This window comes from Homo sapiens, chromosome 4 (genome assembly GCF_000001405.40).
Source record: "Homo sapiens chromosome 4, GRCh38.p14 Primary Assembly".
Lineage (NCBI taxonomy): Eukaryota > Metazoa > Chordata > Mammalia > Primates > Hominidae > Homo > Homo sapiens.
Window position 1 is genome coordinate 118,089,847 of NC_000004.12, and position 22,411 is coordinate 118,112,257.

Genomic DNA, 22,411 nt, shown 5'->3' on the forward strand with positions numbered 1-22,411 from the left:
ACTTTGAGAACAAGGTGAAAGCAGAGGTGATAACTATAAAAGAATATCTTGTCAAAGAAGAAGCCCATGTCAAGCTTACTCCATCATGGAGATAAATGTCAGCCCTGCTTTTGCTCAAAGAGCACACCTAAGAGGAAAAGGCACAAAGGGTTAGAGTGCCAATAGAAAAAGACCACCTGCCACTTACCACAAATGAATAAAACAAATATATATCCATAGTCCATGGGGCAACCATAGCAAAGGACCATCTGATCCTCACGACATTGTCTTAAAGCATTCCTTACATCCCCATTAGGAATAAGAAGCCGTTAAAACCACCTATACCTACACCTATATAACTAGCACATTCCTGCTGACAGAGCTTGGAAGGCATTGAGCAGTTCTGCATTTGATCCTACTTTTTTCACAAAGAGGTGAATATCAAATATTTTAAACAGCAAGTTAAAGTTTCAGAGCAAATATAATTTAAAATTTGGTTCTGCTTTGGGAAATCTGTTTAGGAGGCATTTGTAAACAGTTGAAAGGCTCATTCTAAACTGGAATGGATTGCCCCATCCTATCAATGCCCCTGAGATGAATATGAAGTCAGCAATGGGAGTTTTTTAATTCTATGATAATTGGCTGGGAGTTCTTTGACCTTTAATTAAACAAAATACGAATTAATGAACTTTCTTTCTATTTACAGCAGAGGCTTGAAATGGTACAAGTTGGGATAACAATCAAAACAAGATGCTATTTTTTCACTAACAAATAAATACAAAACATGATGCTGAAATCTGCATACTGATATTGATCTAATTATTTATTTTGAACCTGTAATTTTTCATCTTTCTTCACTCGAAGGAAGAAAAAACATCAGGAAAAAAAGGAGCTATTTCTTCTTGGATATATATGTCACACATAAGCAATTTTCAAATGTCTCATGAGCTGGTCTCAGTATTAAAAGAGGCTTCTTTAGTCTAGCAGAATTTCAGACAAAAATTCTAGAGCCTTTATAACATAGAAGAGTTTTATGAAAGGGTCTGATTGGATGAGATGTAAAGAGATAAAATATGTACATAGTTACAATTATATTTTACAAATTAAACAAAAAACTTTTTTTCTTGTTTTGCTTTTTTCGTTTTATGCCTTAACTGGTGAACATTTAAAAATATGCTGTTAGATGAGATCGTGCCACTGCCCTCCAGCCTAGGTGACAGAGAGAGACTCCATCTCAAAAAAAAAACAAAAATGCTGTTAGAATATGGACACAAAGAAGAGAGCAGTAGATATAGATACCAGATATAGATACTTGAGGGTGAAGAGTGGGAGTAGCGTGAGGATGAAAAACTACCTATTGGGTACCATGCTCATTACCTGGATGATGAAATAATTTGTACCCCATAGCCCCACAGCACACAATTTACCCATGTACAAACCTACACATGTATCCCCTGGACCTAAAATAAAAGTTGGAAAAAAAAATTTAGGGATCATTAGCAGATCATTGCAAAATCTGCTAGGATTTTGCAGATAAACCATAAGATCCCTCGAAAATATTTTTCTTTGTAGAAACCATGTGAGTCTATACAGCAGGGTCTCAGGAGTATGAGGGATAGGCAGTAATATGTTCATCCTCCTGTTTAGTGAGAGAAGCTTCCCTGCAACAGTTTGAGAAATTGAGCATGGCAGTTTCGAAGGTATCTTCCAGCTCTAAATCCTTCTTTGTGATAATCATGAGTAATGTGATGCATCCTTACTCTGACCCCAAGCAGAGGATTCTCTACTCAGGTTCTGGTGGCCAAACCTCTCCTGCTTTCACTCACTGAGGGAATGGAAGAGTATTTCTATGAAGGAACTCCTGGGATCTCTACCCTTTCCTGTTACAGTAGCAATATGTTTGTGCCCCACTATCACCACCACATCTACTGAACTAGAGCCCATATAGACCTAATATTAGTGCCCAAAGTATTGTTGTGTATTTTTTATATTTGTATTATAATTGACTTCATTTTATAATCTCTACTATGTTTTTTCTTTTTCTTAATCACTTATATGCAATGTCTATCATATTTATTGTTATACATACTTATGATGACTTTAAATCCTTTTTATAGAATTGGGATACAGCATTAAAATTTTATTGTAATGATTATGTTTCCAGCTATGAGGCATTAAATATTATGTAGTCCAAAACTTACAACTCTGTGAGGTAGGTATTTTCTTATTTATTTATTTATTTATTTATTTATTATATTTTAAGTTCTAGGGTACATGTGTACAATGTGCAGGTTTGTCACATATGTATACATGTGCCATGTTGGTGTGCTGCACCCATTAACTCGTCATTTACATTAGGTATATCTCCTAATGCTATCCCTAAGGTAGGTATTTTCATTGTTTTTTTTTTTAGAACAAGGAAACTAAGATTCGGGAAAGGCACTTGCCAAGGGGAAAAGTTACTCAGTGTCCTTAGAGCTAGGATTCAAGCCCAGGAAACTTCCCTCTAAAAACCATACTACTAATTACCTTTCTCAAGAACCTTCCAATTAGAATATTGTCAGAAAGTCACAATAAGTTATTTTGGTACTTGATTAGGCATGAAATCTTTGTGAGATAGCAGGCCGTTTCTGATTCTGATTCCTCAAGTCAGCTGGCCTTTTCTCTTTCCTTCTTGAGTCATTATCTTTTTGCTTTTTCTACTGTCCCTTCACTGACCCTCCAAACTTCCAGTCCACCTTCTCTGGAAATATCTTTCCACAATTTTAGTTCCTTTTTTGGCCCCAGAAATGTACCTCAGCTTCAGGTCTAAACTACTCTAAACTTCAGGTCAGAAGCATTAATTAATTTGTTTATTCATTCAATAAATATTTATGAGTGCCTACTACATAGCACTGGGCAAACTGTAGTGAAGGGAACACACATGCTCCCTGTTCTCATGTTTCTTATGTTCAATAGGAATAGATAACACTAAACAAGTAAGTATATAGCATAACGTATCAGACACTGGCAGGTGTTGTGGAGAAAATAATGCAGGGCAAAGGAAATAGAGAAGTCTGAGCCTCAGAAAATAGAGAAGTGTTGTTACATTTATAAGGATGTCCAGGAAAAGCCTGTCTGATAAGGTAATATTTGAGCAGAGACATAAAAGAAATGTGAATTTAAAAGTGATGCTCTGAGGAAGAGACTTAGGGGCAGAGAAAATAACAGCATGAGTAAAGGCCCAGAAACAGGAATAATCTTGTGTTTCCCTAACAATGAGAAGGGCTGTGCGCTGGAACTGAGTGAGAATGAATGGATTCCTAAAATTGCTTGACTCATCTATAATTCATTCAAGAATGGCATTTGACTTCTAAGATAGCCATTTTTCAGAAAATTTATTTTAGATTATATTAATTTTTTATACATATGTTTATCGCTTCACAGAATAAAAAAGGCTTTTCCCAGATATTATCTCCTTTTCTCCTCAAAACATGCTGTCACTGGATCATGGGTCTAATTTGATTTGATTATCCCAGCAACTGACACAAGACATGATGCATAGTAAGCACTCAATAAATGTATATGGAATTAATTAGTTGATGTATTAATTCTGTGGCACAATTTCTAATTTTTCACCTTTACCATGTTCATTATTATTGAACATCAGTGATGGGACTATAATTCAGTGAAGCTTCAGAAGCTATAAAGATTTATCTAGCCATTTGCCTGTACCCTAACTTATATATGTATCTAATTTTTGTGCTGATTTACACTTTTTCTGCCTAACTCTTCCATTAAGTTCTTTAACATCTTTCTTCGCAATCAGTTTATGTATATTCCTAACTTATCGTATCTAATCTGCTATATTCTTGGAAACCAGATCACAGGCCTGTTAGACCTATATGTATGTAAAATAAAGTGACTTTTAAGTGAGAGCATGAAACCCTTTCTTAAAGAATAAATTTGCCTTAGTTCATTTGTACTGCTACAACAAAATGCCACAGACTGGGTAATTTATAAATAATAGAAATTTAGTTCTGGGAGCTGGAAATTCCAAGGTCAAGGCACCAGCAGGTTCAGTGTCTAGTAAGGGTTAAGTGTCTCTGCTTCCAAAATGGAACCTTGTTGCTGCATCCTCCAGAGGGGACAAACACTGTATTTTCACATGGCAGAAGGGATGGGAAGAAGCAAGCCCACTTCCTCAAGCCTTTTTATAAGGTCATTGATCCCAATCATGAGAGCTCCACTGTCATGATTTAATCACCTCCTGAAGGCCTCACTTCTTAATACTACCACACTGGCAATTAAGTTTCAACATATGTATTGTGGGGAACACATTCAGACCATAGCAAAATTCACTAACTTTACTACTTGCTTCCTAACAGCTGTTCTGATCTCATAGGCATTTTGCTTATTTTTGCATCTGCAATGTAATTCTAGTGGATTAAAGTTGTTAGGCACAGTATACAATTGTGCCTTTCCCCCAACTTGCATCCAAAGAAAATTATAACGCATTTCATCCCATCAAACTTATAATCTATGGTATAATCTAAAGCCACATTAAGAGGTTATTCATCACACCAAACTGATCTCATTTACCAGAAGTAGCCACAGCTTACAGGTTTGTCTGAGCCCTTCTTTTTCCTCACTGAAGCAAGGGTTCCCAACCAATATTGATTATCTACCCACTTGGTGCAACATGATTGTAAATGTGCCCCTTGTTTTGGGGTACACTTAATGTGTCCTTTCCATAGAAGTCATTATCTCTATTTACCCTTTAGTTACCCTATACAAATTTTCAGTCAAATATTATTCTTTCCTCTTCTGACTAAGAATTTTTTGGCATTACCAGTAATTAATTTATTCTTTCATTCTTTCAGCAAGACTCTATTGGGAGCCTACTACATGCCAAGCACTGCTCTGGGCACTGCAGATTTAGCATTGTAGAGGCAGAGGTTACCTTTATTCTGTTAGCTAAATGAATAGCTCTAAGGGTAAGAGCTAAATAGATGGCTATAAATAAAGGTACACCAATAGTAATAGCGATAAATTCTATGAAAAAATAAAGCAGAGAATCCAGGTATAGCGTGATAGGCTGAGCATTTATTTAAAAGAGGGTGGTCACAAAAAATATATAAGCATGTGAAGTGATGGACATGTTAATTAGCTTAATTTCACCATTTCACAAGTACATTTATTAAAACATCACCTTGTACACTATAAATACATGCAATTTTTATTTGTCAATTATACCTTAACAGAGCTGGGTGAAATTTTAAAAAAAAGAAAAAAGAGTGGTCAAGGAAAGCCTCACCAAAGAGGTTATGTGTAAGTGGAGACCTGAAAGAGTAAGGAAGTAAACCACATGAGTATTTGGGGAGAGCATATCCTTAAGAGGAAACAGAAAGACTAAAACCTTGAGGTGTGAACAAACTTGATATGTTCTAGGAGTAGCATAAAGGCAAGTATGTCTAGAGCATAGTGAGTAGGAAAGGAAATGATACAATATAAGGCCTAAGGCAAGGACCAAGTAATGTAAGGATTTTTGAACATCAGTTGTCACTACTTCCCAACAGTTCATTGTGTGTTTGACTTGGTGCTACTTCTGGACAGTTTTCTTAAAGTCAGTGTAAAGAGCATAGGACATGTATTGCAAATAATTTTGGTAGGGTAACTTGCATGATACCATATTAATAAAATTCAGGAGAAAATATGGAGACAACAGTACTCACAGTTGTACATTCTGTTTTTTTTTTTGTGGTTGTTGATGCAGGTGAAATTCACTTATGTAAAATTAACTATTTTAAAGTAAACAATTCAGTAGCATTCAGCATATTCACAGTATTGTGCCACTACAACCTCTGTCTAATCCAAAACATTTTCATCACCCCAAAAGGAACCCATCCTCATTAATCAGTTGCACCCAATTTTCCCTACACTGGCAACCACCAATCTACTCTCTCTATCTATGGCTGTACATACTCTAGATATTTCTTGTAAATAGAAGCATACAATATGTGGCCATATATGTCTGGCTTCTTTCACTTAGCATAATGTTTTTGAAGTTCATCTATGTTATAACATGTATCAGTACATAATTTGTTTTCATAGTTGAATAATATTTCATTGTATGTACATAGGCAAATTTGTTTCTCCATTCATCCACAGATGGACATTTCAATTGTTTCTACTTTTTAGCTATCGTGAATAGTACAACCATGAACATGTATGTAGAAGTATTTGTCTGAACACTGTGTTTTGTTCTTGTGGTACATACCTAGAAGAAGAATTGCTAGATCATATGGTAATTCTATGTTTAACTTTTTGAGTAGTCACCAAAATGTTTTCCAAAGGGGCTGAACCACATTACAGTCCCACAGCACTCTGATTCTTAAACTACCTCTATATACAGATGCTCCTTGAAATACACTGGGATTATATTCTCATGTATTGAATGCATGTCACTTTTACACCATCATAAAGCTGAAAAATCTTTACTTGAACCATCATTAAATCAGGGCTTGTCTGTTCTCTGCAAGCTCTTGCTTCCTCATACCTTATCTTCCCTAGATTGGAGCTGTTTATACTGAGTTATCATACTTTGCCAAAACTGATAACCTGATTAGTTGGTTCTCCCAAACCAGCTGAAATGGACTTTAATTAGAAAAACTAAGAAAAATAAAATTAATAAAAATATAAAGCTAAACTTTAGAAGCTAAAATTCTGTTGCATAATTTCTAACCCAAACTACCCTAGTCATGATATATATAAAAGATAGACGGATAGACAGATAATCTTCTATTGATTCTGTTTCACTAGAGAACCCCAATACATACTCCATTATGGCTAGAGTAGATAGATAGATAGATAGATAGATAGATAGATAGATAGATAGATAGATAGACAGTTAGGCAGATGTATTATAAGGAATTGGCTTATGAGGTTATGGAGGCTGAGAAGTCTCAAGATATGCAGGCAGCAAGCTGGAGATCCAGCAGAGCTAAGTGTGTAGTTCCTGTCCAGGTTTGAAAATCTGAGAACCAGGAGAACTGGTAGTGTGCATTCCAGTCTAAAATCTGACAGGTTCGATACTCAAGAGTCAATGTTTCAGTTTAAATCTAAAGATAGGAAAAGATCAATGTTCCAGCTCAAGGCAGTCAGGCAGAAGGAGCTCCCTCTTACTTGCAAAATAGTCAGTCTTTTTGTTCTACTTAAGACTTCATGTGATTGGATGAGGGCCACCATCTTTAGAGAAGGCAATCTGCTTTACTCAGTCTACTAATTGAATGTTAGTCTCATCCAAAACATCCTCACAGACACACCCATAATAATGTTTGACCAATTATCTGGGCACCCCATAGCTCATTCAAGTTCTCATGTAATGTTAACCCTCACAGAGTACTTTTGAGCCAGCACAATTTTTAGGACCTCAACTGAATTCAGATGGCCCTTATATAACCCATGTTGTCTAGAGTATTTCTTATTGGAGAATCCACAGTATCTGTTAATTATGAGGCTTATGAAATCATTGATTAGCTGAATTATTTCCTTACTGTGTACCAGTAACTGTACCAAGAAGTGAACACTAAAGATTTCATACTCAAAAGGAAAAACAACTCATAAATAAATAAATTAGAAACTACCTTGAACTATTTGAAATCAAGGAATAGAACAGTGATTCTTAACAGTGTGGTATAATGTCCCCTATATCAAAATCACCCAGGGTATGTTGCCTTTGCTCAGAATGATTGTTCTGAATCTCTGGGTTAGGACCCGGAAGTCTACATTTTGTTAAGTTTCCCAGATAATCTTTATGTACATAGAAGTTTGAGAAGCACTGATAGGAAATGCTTTTATTTTAGCAATTTTCAAAATAATTTGAAATCAAATGTTTTCTAATTACTTTTTCCAATTTGAATTATGTTGAAATTCTTCACCAAGATTCAAAACAGTTTATGAAAATAAAGTAGTAAATAAGTGTTCTACAATGGCCATTTTCAAATCTTTATGAGTTTATTGCCTTACTAGATCAATCAAAATTCATTCATGTTCCCATTCAATAAATACTTACTTTCCCTTCTGTTCTTGACATCACGCTGGGTTTTGGGAATGCAGCAGTGAATAGGATAGACATTGCTCATGGAGTTTATAGTCCAGCTTTAATCTCACATTTTGTTTTTAACACATAACACAAACCTTTTTTTGGAAGGGGGTGGGTTGCTGAACATTTAATTACTGTGGTTTTTTTTAAGTATTTAGCATTTTCATGTCTTGAGCAGAACAGATGCGCTACTTAAGGAGTTTCATACCTCTGCAACTAAAAGGAAATCTATTTGTTCTGCAATAACAGTAAGTGGATTGAGACACCTCAGTCCCCTCATGTGAAATCTTACAGCTCTGCTTCCTTTTCTGCTTTCCTGTTAAAAGCAAGTATTTTAAATTAAGGTATTAAAATTATGTTTATAGTAATATATAAACATCCCTTTTCTGCACAATTGAATGAATGAGATTTAACTAATAGTTTCCTAGAGATACTATATAGCAAAAAATAATGAACTATTTTTAACACTTATTTTCTTTTAAAAAGTACATTAGTATTTTGACTAAGCATGTCAACCATAAGCTAAATAGCATATGCATAACAATTTCAAGTGAATACTTCGTGATGGTAGCACTTACTTAATAGTTTTCTCTTTTCCCCACTAACCTGTCATTATTTGCCAATTTCAGCTCAAGAACTCCTCTGGGAAAATCATTCTTCACCGCTGTAATTTAGAGGTTATATATAATGTATGCTCAAGACCAGTTAAAGTATGTAACAGAAGTAACTCAAGATTGCTCTATAACTCTTTTCTCTGCTTTCACACAAACCTTTGTCCTTACTCTGTTATTACAATAGAAACAATAAAATACATAAGCATTCAGGTGAAGAATGAAAATTCACTAATGTCATTTAGAAAAAATACCAAGAAGGGTTTATATGAAGGATATAAAGCCCTGTGAAGTTACTATAATACAGCTACTTGGATTATCTTCCTGTTTAGTGCTGATTAACTCCAAAAGTGTTACGGCTCAATTTAAAAATATAGTTTAAAATTTTAGGCATATGCCTGATGTTTTCATGTGAGTAACAGAAAGTAATGGAACATGGAATTTTCTGACAGGACAATAAGGACCTTTTAAAGTTGGCAGAATTACAAAGGATTTCATTCACAAAGCTAAAACTCAACTTCTGTGTATTAGGAAAGGATTTAAGACCATATATCCATTTCTCATTTGATCTTCATACAAAACCTGGGAGTTACATATTGTTATTCTTGTTTTCCAAGGGGGAACTGTGATTTGGAAAGGTTCAGTAACTTGTCCAAGCCTCGTATTATTACTGCATAGTAATCAAGTAGCAGAGCCAGAGTCCTAAGTCACTCGGATTTCAATCTGCTGCTGTTCTGCCATGGTCATGTATGTTGGTGAGGCCAAGCACAAGAACTGGGCATTCAGCAGATGGTGGCCTTGGCCTAAGGCAATTTAACAAGAGCGAAGATAATCTCTAAGACTCCTCACTGTACTTAGCAAATTCCTAGGTGAAAGCTCATAGAAAACACAGTCCAGCCTTTGGTCTTTAAGACTATTTTAATCTGGCAGGACAAATACAGTTTCTACATTTTTATATGTAGACTTCACATTTAGAATATGGGCAACTGAGAGCTGAGTGATTGTTTTGCCATTAGGAGTGTTAATTAAGTTAGATAATGCAGTGCTATGTCTATAGATTTCTTGTCAAGGGAGTTTAAATACTGTTGCAAAAACTGACTGGGTATTATGCTTCCCACTAGCTTACCTATCTTTCCTGCATTCTTTCTTATTTCCCTGCTGAATGTCAATTGTGTAGGTAGGTCAAATAGTAAAGTTGATCCTGGCCTTATTATTTATTTTCCTCTAAGGGTATCTTTCCTCTAATTGTTCCTGAGGCCCTACTCTAATATTAACCTAATTAACTGTTTTCAGCATATTTCAATGTTTTTCTTGTCTAAGCACAAGTCTTGTATAGTCTTTCCAGTTCTAAACCTGGTCAGAGAGAGACTAAGGTGGTCATTGGAGCACTTCATGGTGCTCCAGTGTCCTGCAGTCCAACTCTGCAGATTGTACAGTGAGTAAGTGTTCTTTAATCTGGATGCCAGTGGGTAAACATTACTAGTTTGGCTGGTGTGGTGGCTCATCTTATGTGTGAACGTAACTAAGCTAAGGGATGCCCATATAGCTGCTACAACATGATTTGAGGTGTGTCCGTGGGAGTGTTTCTGGAAGAGATAAGCTTTTGAATTGGTGAGCTAAGTAAAGCAGATGGCCCTCCCCAATGTAGGGGGCATCATCCAATTTACTGAGGGATTGAATAGAACTAAGAGGTGGAGGAAGGGCAAATTCACTCTCTCTGCTTGAGCTGAGGCATCCATCTTTATCTGCCTCAGACATAGGCGCTCCTGGCTTCAGGCTTTCAAACTGCCACTTATACCATCACCCACCACCACCACCAATTTCTCAGGCCTTCAGATGCAAACTGAATTATATCACCAGCTTTCTTAGTTCTCCAGCTTGCCTCCACAACCACATGAGCCAAATCCTGTAATAAATGGCCTCCTATATCTATATCCATATCTATTTCCTATCGTCCTGTCTCTGGAAAATCCTAAATAATATAGCTGACTATTCACTGACCAATCTAGTCTTCCCATTCCCCTCATACCTTTAGGCTTTGAAAACTAAAAGTGACAGTTAAATATTGAAAGTGGAAAAAAGAGCATCCTTGTCTTCGTTTCTGGAAGATTATGTCACCACAGTTCTGTATGCCAGTGATAAGAGGGTTCATGTTGTATTCTTGTTGTTTCCATGGACAACAGAAGCAGTGAGCTTTGAAATCCAAAATCCTTGTTAAGTCACCTCTTTAGCTCTTAAATAGCTTTGTGACCAAGGGAAAGCCACTTAAACTATGTAAATCATGTCTACCACTTCTGAAATGGGAATAATAATCTCTAGTATACTAAGTATATCTGATGCCTGGAGGAGGTATGAGTGCGTGTACACGCGTGTGTGTAGATAGACACATAGGCATAGGAGCTTATCATTTGCTGCTTAATTGATTTCATTTACTCTAGCAAATATAGACATTTATATTTCTAAATAGTATATGATTGACTATAAAATATTAACTCTAAAAGTACTGTGCTCAAACAAAAATATTTTTATCTGCTAAAATAGGCCAAAATATAATCTAAGAAGCATAAATAAGAAACAAAAAAATTATCAAGACATTCCACCAAGAATGCCACACGTGTCATCAACACTAACATAAATCTTCATGTAAAACTTCTTTGCAATTACTTTTAATTTCAATTTCTGCCTCTTCATCTATTTGATTTATTCTGCTAACAAAAGTTAGAGAAAATTCAAAGGCTATCATTTTGCTCAGTTCTCAGAACTCAGATTCTTTAAATTAGTTCTTTTTTGTCTTCAACTAGATATTTTAATGCCTGCAAACTTTCTTAGCTTTACAGAATGAAGACTTGAAAAAAAAAAAAAACTAAGTTAGTGGGGTAGCATACAGATTAAAATTTGGAAAGATAATTTTGAAATTTTTGTGTTAAATTGTATTTGAAATGCAATTATCATATAATTAAGTTGCACACTATGTTCCCTTCTAACACTCTGATTAGCATTTTCAACTGTTTTGTTTGCTAAAGCATAAACAATTATTTTCTGCTGCAGAAATGGTTGCTTCATTGCTGTAGCCATGAGTGGCTTAATGATGGAGGTGTGTTCTAAAAAATGTGTTGTTAGCCAATTTTGTTGTTGTGTAAACATCACAGAGTATACTTACACAAACCTAGATGGTATACCCTACTACACACCTAGGACCACCAAAATATACATGCTACATTGTTGACTGAAACATCATTATGAGATTCATAACTACATAAGTATGTGTTGATACACAGAGCAGTATTTATATTAGTCAAAAAAGTAAACAACTTAAATGTACAACAATAGGATAAAATGGGTAAATAAATTATAGTATACTCATTTGATGCAATATTCTGCATTCATTACAAAATTTGGTTTTGGAAGATTAATGTGATAGGAGAAAGCCCATGATATACTGTCAAATGAAAATTCAAAACTCTGTATTTTTAATCCTGATTGGTATAGCTTTAATTTTTATTTTATGGCACTAATTTACCTATATAACTATATGCCTGCAAATATTATTATATATGTTTATTTATTGAGAAAAAATGGAAAGAAAACACATCATAATACTTTATTAGTGATTTTAATTATTTTTAATTAGAAAAAATGTTATTTTAAAAATAATAATTGATACATGGAATTGTAAATTACCTTCCTATATATAGTACAGTATTTTGGAAAAACTAAAAACAAAAGTCCCATTTTTCAATAATCAAGCCACTTTTGAAGGTAGACATCTATGTTCTTAGGGTTCCTGGATTGGCATTTGAGGAGACCACTAAATTGTGCCTCTTCAGACAATCGTGATTCCTTACCTCCTCCATGACCACAGTACTCTATCAGATGGGTTTTGCTTGCCCAGAATACATGTGGTTTTCTGTCTGTGGTCGTGGAGCACTGACTTAATTTATTATAATTAGAATTTTAGATATGATCACACCATTTTAGACATGTTGCATATACAGAATAAAGTATAATTTTATATCATTTTTATATTTTGTTCATAGTAATGAGTAGACTACTTCAGTTTAAAATAGAATAATGCTGAATAAAATCATTCTAGTAATGAAGGGTTTAGTGAAAAGGATATGACCTAAGAATATTGCTGGGTACTTAAGCTTTTTACAAGGGTTAGGCCAGTAACAAATATATTTTTAAAAGGTGGGAATAATGGATGAATGTATAATAATGTTCTCATAAACATCTGCAAAATCTGGTTTACAAAAACAACATAAAAGATGACAAATATCACTGTTTATCTTAAGTATATAAAATATCATCTAGAAATAATTTTCCCCTCTTTACCATATATAGGCATAATTAGTATCTGCCATCTGTTTCAATGTATCTTTTATGTGTTTAGTGTTTATTTCTAGAATATCAAATAAATAGGTAAAATGGAAATTCAAATCTGCAAATTCAGGGCTAATTTAGTAACTTAAATCATTGTATTCTAGTTGACTAAGAGGTTAGTTCGCAGGAACTTTATTTAGCTTCTAAGGCCTAAGAAGAAGACAGGTTTCTTATATATAGTTTTTCTTATCAAGTTTTGTAAATGTACATTAAAAATGCAATCAAGGATCACAAAGCAAAGTTCGAATTCCAATTAAGTTTGAACAAAAAGAAAGGCAAAAAGAAGGTTCATTTTACCAAATTGTAAGACTTAAAGCACTGAACACAAAAAAAATATGTTCAAATAGATTTCGAATCTATATTTTAACCACTGAAAGAAGAAAAATAAGAGACTGAAATGAAGTGAGTAAAATGGAAAAAGAAGAAAGATATGATCTAAGTGGAAGGAAAGATAGGAAGGGTGGGCTAGAATGTTCAACTGGGGAACAACAGAATTGAGAGAGGAAGAAGGGGAGAAGAAAGAAAGGGAAGATATTATAATTGTCAGCATTATATATATATATTTATACACAAAATGTGTGTGTATTATAATTGTCAGCAGTACAAATATACAGACACTTGTATATGTATACTATATATCTTACACCTAGGTATATCCTTCCCCACACCAGGGTCCAGCATCTGACCTAGAAGTCCCATTTGTAACTTCATCATGTCCAGCTGGCTGGATTCCTCCTCCCCCATCCAAACCGTGCCCCACCTTGTAAGGACCTAACCTGTCCCTGATGACATTGCTGTCAGTTCATTCTTTTGCTCCCATAGTTAGGTGTAGAGATCCACCAACAGGCCTGTCTTCTATTTCTGAGTGTCATCAGGACGCACATATTACATGGTTCAGCTGTGCACACCAAAAAGCTTGCTTATGTTAAGAGAGTAGTGATACCAAAAGAATTAGATAGCTAAATTTCAAAAACTTACCATTGGCTAGATGAGTCTAAATTTGAACCCAGAAGTTCTCTACCTCTGCTTTTAAAATCAGGAAGAATCTCTTGCATTCAGATAAAGCATACAATCATGGGGTAGTCAATGAATAAAAAACTCTATCTGCTTATGATCCAAAAAAGTTGGGACCATAAACATGATGAGGCAGACCTTCCAGATGTCAGCTTTATAATTAAGAAAATAAGATTTAGTTGTGGGCCCAACTGTATTAAGGAAAGGGAGAAAGAAGATAAGGTGTGATAGAGTAGAAGGAATGCCTAATTTGGATCTATATCCGTAAGCTAGGATACCACTAATTTCATCTATGAAAGATCATTTACAAATCTAACAGCATTACTTTCTGCCTAGTTGAAGTGAACACTCAACTACCGTGTGTGTGTATGTGTATGTGAGAGAGAGACAGAGACAGAGAAGGAGACAGAGAGAGGGAGTATAAGAATCAGACTTAAAGATTGAGAAAGAAAAAAGAAGAAAGAAAAGTACATTAAATACTCAGCATGGTAAATATTTTATAGGATATAACAATTAAAACTCTGATTCAAAATAGCTTTACTTATCAGAAGTAGGATATTTTATTAGTCTGTTTTTTAATGAAAGGGCAAATTAGAGATCTACTTTACTATGATATCTCATTTTGAACAACAATCATTATCTTTTGGGAATCTCAGATTTTGATTTTGAAAACCAAAGACTTGTCTGAGAAATAATCTGTTTCTTTCAACATACGTTCTTGCATAGCTTCACTAAAAATGAGTGCCCTTCTTTTGGCAATTGGTGATCTATATGCCTGAAGGGTAAATTGGATATATTTTATGTACTAGATCGTAGTTCTTTTGATACCTACAGAATAAACTCTTTTCATTTAACTTCCTTTTTCCAACTGACACTTTTTGCTGATTTATTGCAAGCTAAAGGATAAATAAATGTATGTGTTTCATGTAAACTCAAAAGTATCTCTCTAGTTTTAAAGTGATAAAGAAACTATTTTCCACCATTTAATTCTCACATGTATAAGGAACTGGTTTTATCCTCTGAATGCAAAAAGGATATATCTTTTGGAAACTTTTTAATGCCATTCTTTACCTGATACATTTTTTAAATTATGTATTTCAGGCCCTGCTTGATACTCAGAATCTTTTGCGTGCACAAATCACAAATTTTACATTCAACCTGGGATTTTCAGGGAAATTTTACCATACAGGTAAGAAAAAGGGATTAACTGTTCTCATTAAGGCTTCTCTGATCACTCTATTTAAAATTGCACACTTTTCCTGCCCACACTGTCCTACATTCCCTATGTTCCTCCCCAGCATTTTATCATTCAATTCTATTTAACATGCTATTTTTTAATTTTTGTAAAATATTAATGGTTTGAAAGTTTATGGAACTATCTGATGGCCTTTCATTTTTATTGAATTATAATTTACATATATAGAAGTACATAAATAGTAAATGTGATATTCAGTGAATTTTCAACGTGTACACAGCTGTGTAAAGAACAGGCAGATCAAGAAAGAGAACACTTCCAAAATCTCCACTTCTTGTGCCCCTCACAATAACTAACTTCTCTCAAAGAAGAGTAGTATTCTGACTTCTAATATCATGAATTAGTTTTGCTTGGCTTTGAGTGGTATGTAAAAGGAATCATACAGTAAAGATTCATCTGTATCCAGCTCATTTTGTACAATGTTATTTTTGTTTCAGAAATATTACTGTCTATAGGTTATAATTCTTTCCTTTTCCTTGCTGTACAGTATTCCATTGTCTGAACATACAAAATTTACTTGTCTATTCCATTAAGCTGTAGATGGTTGGGTGTTTCCAGACTTTGAGTTTTTCTGAATAGAAATGTTCATAACTTCCTGTTACGAACATTTTTATACCTGTCCTTCAGAGGACTTGAGTATTCTTTTCTGTTAATCATCAACTAGGAATGGAATTGCTAGTTATGTGGCACACTTATAATTAATTTTAGTAGAAAATGTCAGTTTTTCAAAATGGTTGTACCTGTTTATATTCCCAACAGTATGAGTGTTCCTGTTGCTCTGTATGCTTGCCAGTATTTGATATTGTTTGTCTTTTTAATTTTAGCTTTTCTGGTGAACATGTAGAGATATCATATTAGGGTTTTAATGTACATTTCTCTGAAGAGCAGTAAATGATCTTTGTTCGTATGTTGGCTGGCTATTTGGATATCCTCTCTTGAGGAGTATCTGGGTTTTCTGCTTTTACTTAATGATTTGTAGAAATTCTTTCCTTGAAGTTTACAGTTCCATGTGTTCCAAGTACTTTCTCCTGCTGTCTGGCTGTCTCTTAATTTTCCTTATGGCGTTTTTAATGAACAAAAATACTTAATTTTAGGCCGTTCAATTTATCATTTTTTTCTTTAATGGTCATTCTTTTCTATCTTATTTAAGAAATCTTTGCATACTACAAGAACATGAATTTTTTTTCTTTTTGAGACAGGATCTTGCTCTGTTGCCCAGGATAGAGTGCAGTGGTGCAAACACAACTCACTGCAGCCTCAACCTCCTAGGCTTAAGAAATCCTCCCACCTCAGCCTTTTGAGTAGCTGGGACTACAGGCCCATGCCACCATGACTGGCAAATTTTTCTTGTAGAGAAGGGGTCTCACTATGTTGCCTAGGCTGGCAATGTATAAATCTGTGATACATCTGGAATTGATTTTTGTGCATATATCAGATAGGGGTCTTTTTTTCATAAAAATATCTAATTGGTTAGCCAGACATGGTGACATGTGCCTGTAGTCCCAGCTACTCAGGAGACTTAGATGGGAGGATAACTTGAGCTCAGGAGGTCTAGGCTGCAGTAAACTATGTTCATGCCACTGCGCTCCAGTCTAAGCAACAGAGCAAGAATCTGTCTCTTAAAAAAAAATCTAATTGGCTGGGTGTGGTGGCTCATGCCTGTAATCCCAGCACTTTGGGAGGCCGAGGCGGGTGGATCGCGAGGTCAGGAGATCGAGATCATCCTGGCTAACACAGTGAAAACCTGTCTCTACTAAAAATACAAAACATTAGCCAGGCATCGTGGCAGGCCCCTGTAGTCCCAGCTACTAGGGAGGCTGAGGCAGGAGAATGGCGTGAACCCAGCAGGCGGAGCTTGCAGTGAGCCGAGATTGCGCCACTGCACTCCAGCCTGGGCTACAGAGCGAGACTCCATCTCAAAATAATAATAATAATAATAATCATCATCATCATCATCTAATTAGCACCCAGTATTGAAAAGACCATCCTTTCCCACTGCTTCATAGTGTCATTATTATCATAAATTATATGGCCATGTAACTGTGGACTCTCATTCTGAATTTCCCTATTAAATGTGAAAAGAAATCACTCTAAATATTGAGAATAATTAAAAAGTTTTTTCACAATCATAATTAAAATGAGTAAAGATATTTTGACTTGCCTCAGGATAGATGAACACAATTTCATGATTGAAAGCATTACTCTGTATTTTTAGAAGTTAAAAAAACTGATTACATGTATTGGTATACTCATATAATGGAATACTCTGCAGTCATTAAAAAGAGATAATTTTAAATATAAACCATATAGAAAAAGCTCTCAAGATACACTGAAAAATCAGTGTACAGTACAGTGATTAGAACATGCTCCCATTTGTATAAAAATAAAGAAGATAAAAGCTATACAAAAGTCAAGGTATAGTACAGTGATTAGAATATGTTCCCATTTGTATAAAAATAAAAGAGGAGGTGAAATCTGTACAACTCTATGTATAGAACTCTTGTAGCTTAGAAAACTCAGTTACCAAGTAGTTAAGTAACTTGTGCCATGCAAGATGTCTTAAATAAGATAGAAAAGGCTGACCATTAAAGAAAAAAATGATAAACTGAATGACGCTAAAATTAAGTATTTTTTATATAAAGGGCTATTAATACAAGTATAGGATATCTGTGGGAGAATTCATAATAAACTGATAGTAATGGGTAACTATGAATGTATTAGTTTTCATGCTGCTAATAAACATATACCTGAGACTGGGTAATTTATAAAGAAAAGAGGTTTAAAGGACTCACAGTTCCACATGGCTGGGGAGGCCTCACAATCATGGCGGAAGATGAAGGAAGAGCAAAGGGGTGTCTTACATGGCAGCAGGCAAGAGGGCTTCGTAACTTAATGCAGGGTAACTTCCATTTATAAAACCATAAAATCTCGTGAGACTTCTCATTCACTATCATGAGAACAGTATGGGGGAACCTCCCCCATGATTCAATTATCTCCAACCAGCCCCAGCCTTGACACATGGGGATTATTACAACTCAGGGTGAGATTTGGGTGGGGACACAGAGCCAAACCATCTCAGTGAAGAAGAGAATTTGAGAATCAAACAAGAGAGATGAAAAGAAGAGTTACTTTTTACTAAATTTTTTCTGAGCCTTTGCATTTTATAACATATATGTGTGTTAGATCTAAATGAATAAACACATAAGTAATTTTTTAAAGTGATATCATATTTAAGCAAGTTTATCAGTTTTCTACAATTGCAAATGCTTTTCAAATTTTTCATTTGATAATATGAGCAAGAGTTACTTTGTATGTATTTGATGAGTACCTTCAAGGGTTTAATAAACATATCATGCTGAGAATTCTATCTATATACTACTAACATCAATATAATCTCCATATGCACATAAACAACATAAATAGTAATTTTATTTTTAGATAGAAGCATACTGTATTTCTAGAGTAAGTCAATTTCCATTTGTTTCCATGGAAGTTAGAGAGCCATGAGACTTGACTATAGTATTTTCCTATTGTAAAATTGTGTAATGAATACAATATGTATAATCATACAACTACATATAACTTTCACCTACCAATTTGAAAATTGTGTAGGATTTAAGAATAACTTTAACATAAGAAGCGTGGAAGCTTTTATTCCTCTGAATTTCTTAGATCAATATATAAAATACACATTTTCTGTGATTATTTTAAATATTAACAACTGGGAACCTCATGATTATGTTTGACTTTGTTTTATGATTCATTGAGTTGGTTCTTATTGTAACCTCAAAAATAAAAACATAATTAGATATCTATTTTAAATCTTTTGCTTACAGGAAAGTTCTTCTACCTTGGCAATAGATATGTGAAGTGAGAACTTTCTCTTTATGTGCAGAGGTTTAGTTCATCTTTCTAGTGAAGTTAGACTCATAGCATAACTAACTTTCACAATGGAGAGCTCCAAGAGCTTAAGGAAACAGAAGACTGCCCACAACCTCTTCCTAAACTTCTGAGTTAGGATATCCTAACTTCAGGATGATTATCTTAGATTCTTTGACATCCATTGAATAAAGGAAAATTATCATATGGATGAAAAACCACCATGGCAAAATTAGGGTGAAATATGTGGTGTGTTTAGGGGGAGAGGGAGAGAGTAGGAAGAGACATCACAGCAAAACCAGGACAGCCCAGATATGCTCAAGAAATACAAGAAAACACTCCTGGCAACTCCATTATTTTTTTGCCCATCGTTGAATACTGGGGAATGATGCTAGCCAATTCATGTCATTCCTTCTCATCTCTGCAAGGTTTGTCCTCTTTCTTTACTTGGGCACTTCCCACAGCTCATAATAAGAGTATCCTCTCCCTAAGTGAGAGAAAGTACAACACAGATGGAAACAGAGGCCAAGGTTTGAAAGGGTCTTGTTAGCTGTGTATAATATGAGAGTTTCCACAAAACTTAGCCAGGGTTGTCTAAGACCAGTTAAATCATTTTTTAGAGGGAAAAGATACAAAATTTAATATTTGATCTTTCAAAAATTAGATGGGATAAAAAGTAATTGAATTATATTGTCTTCCTTTCTAAATGAAGAAATTGCTATTCCTTTTTCTATAAAAAAATTCTATCCATTTTACTCAGTCTTGAAGGGAAAAAGAAAAGTGGCATTGTCATAACAGTAATACTTTATGTCAGAAGAGAGCTTTATCTTGTTTGATTTATTTTAATTTTTGAAGGGTATGTGCATTTATGTGAGAAATAAAGGGGTAAAACATAAAAATCATAGTTCCCTTTTAGTGCTTTGTTAAACACTTTTCATGTACTTTTTCACTGAATCCTAGAAGTTAAAGAACGTGTTAACTTGTTTTCTAGATAAGAACATAGAAACTTAAAGGGGCCCAAGGTCACATAGCTTGTGAAGTGTCAAAAAATAGTCTTAACTCATCCTTGACTAGGGAAGCTGAATGGCAAAAGATTCTCCTTATTTATAGATTTGTTAGCTTTTTATGTTTCCCCAAATCACTGAGATCCAGTAGTACCTGTACATTCTAATTATATTATAGAATAAATTAACAATGAGAAGAGCAATGTTATATTGAATGAATAAATGCTGATCTTATTTCTAGACTCAACGTTTGGCCAGTGAATGATAGTTAAGGGCCCTGAATTTGGAGTTGCTCAATCTGAGTTAGAACTCAGAATTTCAATTCAGGCTCTGTCTCAAACCTCTCAGTGAGATGGAACAAGTTACTTCACCTCTCCAAATGTCAATTCCCTTATCTGTAAAATGAAGTTAGCAGCAGCACTCACCTCATGAGGTTGTTTTGAGAATTAAGTGAAATGATGTTTGTAAAGTACTCAACACAGTGCTTGACATAACAACACAACATAAACTCTCAATCAATGATGATTTTAAATATAATATCAGAATAGCAAATACTACAGATAAAATAGTGTAGAGAAGTTATTTAAATAAATATATTAAAAAATAAATTATAGTTTGCAATAACTTCATAAGATTTCAGCATAGTTTTGTGATAAGTTAAGAAATGGCACTTAACACTGTAGAAAAGAGTTTGGAAATTTCTCAAAGAACTTAAAACAGAACTAATATTCAACCCAGCAATGCCATTATTGGATATTATCATATATCCAAAGAAAGAAAATCATTATACCAAAAAGACACATGTACTCACATGTTCACTACAGCACTATTCACACTAGCAAAGACATGGAATGAACCTAGGTGTCCATCAATGGTGGATTGGATGAAAAAAATCTGATACATATACTCCATGGAATACTACACAGCCATTAAAAAAGGAATGAAATCATGTCCTTTGCAGCAACATGGATGCAGCTGGAGGCCATTATCCTAAGTAAATCAATGCAAGAGCAGAAAACCAAATACCACACGTTCTCATTTATAAGTGAGAACTAAACATCGAGTACTCATAGTCATAGAGATGGCAACAGTAGACACTGGGGACTAATGGCAGAGAGGGCAGGAGAAGAGTAAAGGTTGAAAAACTACCTGTTGTGTACTATGCTCACTATCTGAGTGATAGGATCTTTCATATCCCAAACCTCAGCATCATGCAATATGCCCAGGTAACAAACCTGCATGTCCCCCCGAATCTAAAATAAAAGTTGAAAATAAAATAAAATACATACAATCTGCATCTTCCCAGAAAAAGGAAATGGCACTTAAAATTGAGGAATTTGACTTCTTGTTCTTCTCTCTTCCTCCAGTTCTGACAAAGGTGGGCAAAGTAGGGAAGCAAAGAGTGGGCAAGAGGCCACGACAGTCCAACCAAATGTAATTAACCCATAGTTAATTACACTTCAACTAATTTTTAATCATGATTTTTTTTTTTTTTTTTTTGAGATGGAGTCTCGCTCTGTCACCCAGGCTGGAGTGTAGCGACGCCATCTTAGCTCACTGCAAGCTCTGCCTCCCGGGTTAACGCCATTCTCCTGCCTCAGCCTCCTGAGTAGCTGGGACTACAGGTGCCCGCCACCATGCCTGGCAAAATTTTTTTTGTATTTTTAGTAGAGATGGGATTTCACCATCCCATCTGAACTGAGATAAATATGTCAGAAGGCAGATATCATTTGTCTAACTCTTGCATGATTCAAATATATGAATATTTTAGTCACAGATTTCACTATGATATTCAGGAAAGGACAACAAATGCCTGAGCTATCTTTTTAGCCAGGATGGTCTTGATCTCCTGACCTCTTGATCTGCCCGCCTCAGCCTCCCAAAGTGCTGGGATTACAGGCATGAGCCACCATGCCCGGCCCATAATTTTTAAAGTAATAAGCAACAGACATTTGTTTTCAATGTAATTCTAATGTAAAACATTCTCAAAGTAGGATTAAAAGAAATCAGATAAGACAAATCTATAAAGAGAAGACATAAAATTGTGCCTAATATGAACTGAGATAAATATGTCAGAAGGCAGATATCATTTGTCTAACTCTTGCATGATTCAAATATATGAATATTTTAGTCACAGATTTCACCATGATATTCAGGAAAGGACAACAAATGCCTGAGCTATCTTTTCAAAGAACCCTGAGAT

The 22,411-nt window shown here is 34.8% G+C and overlaps 1 protein-coding gene and 1 long non-coding RNA gene across 14 annotated transcripts in view; one reads left to right on the forward strand and one right to left on the reverse strand.

Annotated features, from left to right (window-relative positions):
• Positions 1-22,411, forward strand: part of NDST3 (N-deacetylase and N-sulfotransferase 3) — a 225,313-nt gene that overhangs the window by 56,525 nt on the left and 146,377 nt on the right. For 11 of the 12 annotated variants that reach the window (NR_146513.2, NR_146514.2, XM_006714416.4 and 8 more), the window contains one exon: positions 15,172-15,259. Coding sequence is in view for 7 of the 12 variants with exons in the window: in XM_006714416.4 (XP_006714479.1) it covers positions 15,172-15,259 (88 nt within the window). In the remaining 5 variants the exon portion in view is untranslated. Of the gene's footprint in view, positions 1-2,143; positions 2,192-15,171; positions 15,260-22,411 lie in introns of all 12 variants that reach the window. The other variant, XM_047416414.1, reaches the window with a different exon arrangement.
• The window catches only part of LOC107986307 (uncharacterized), a 149,690-nt gene that overhangs the window by 35,110 nt on the left and 92,169 nt on the right, over positions 1-22,411 (reverse strand). The gene's annotated exons all lie outside the window — the stretch shown is intronic.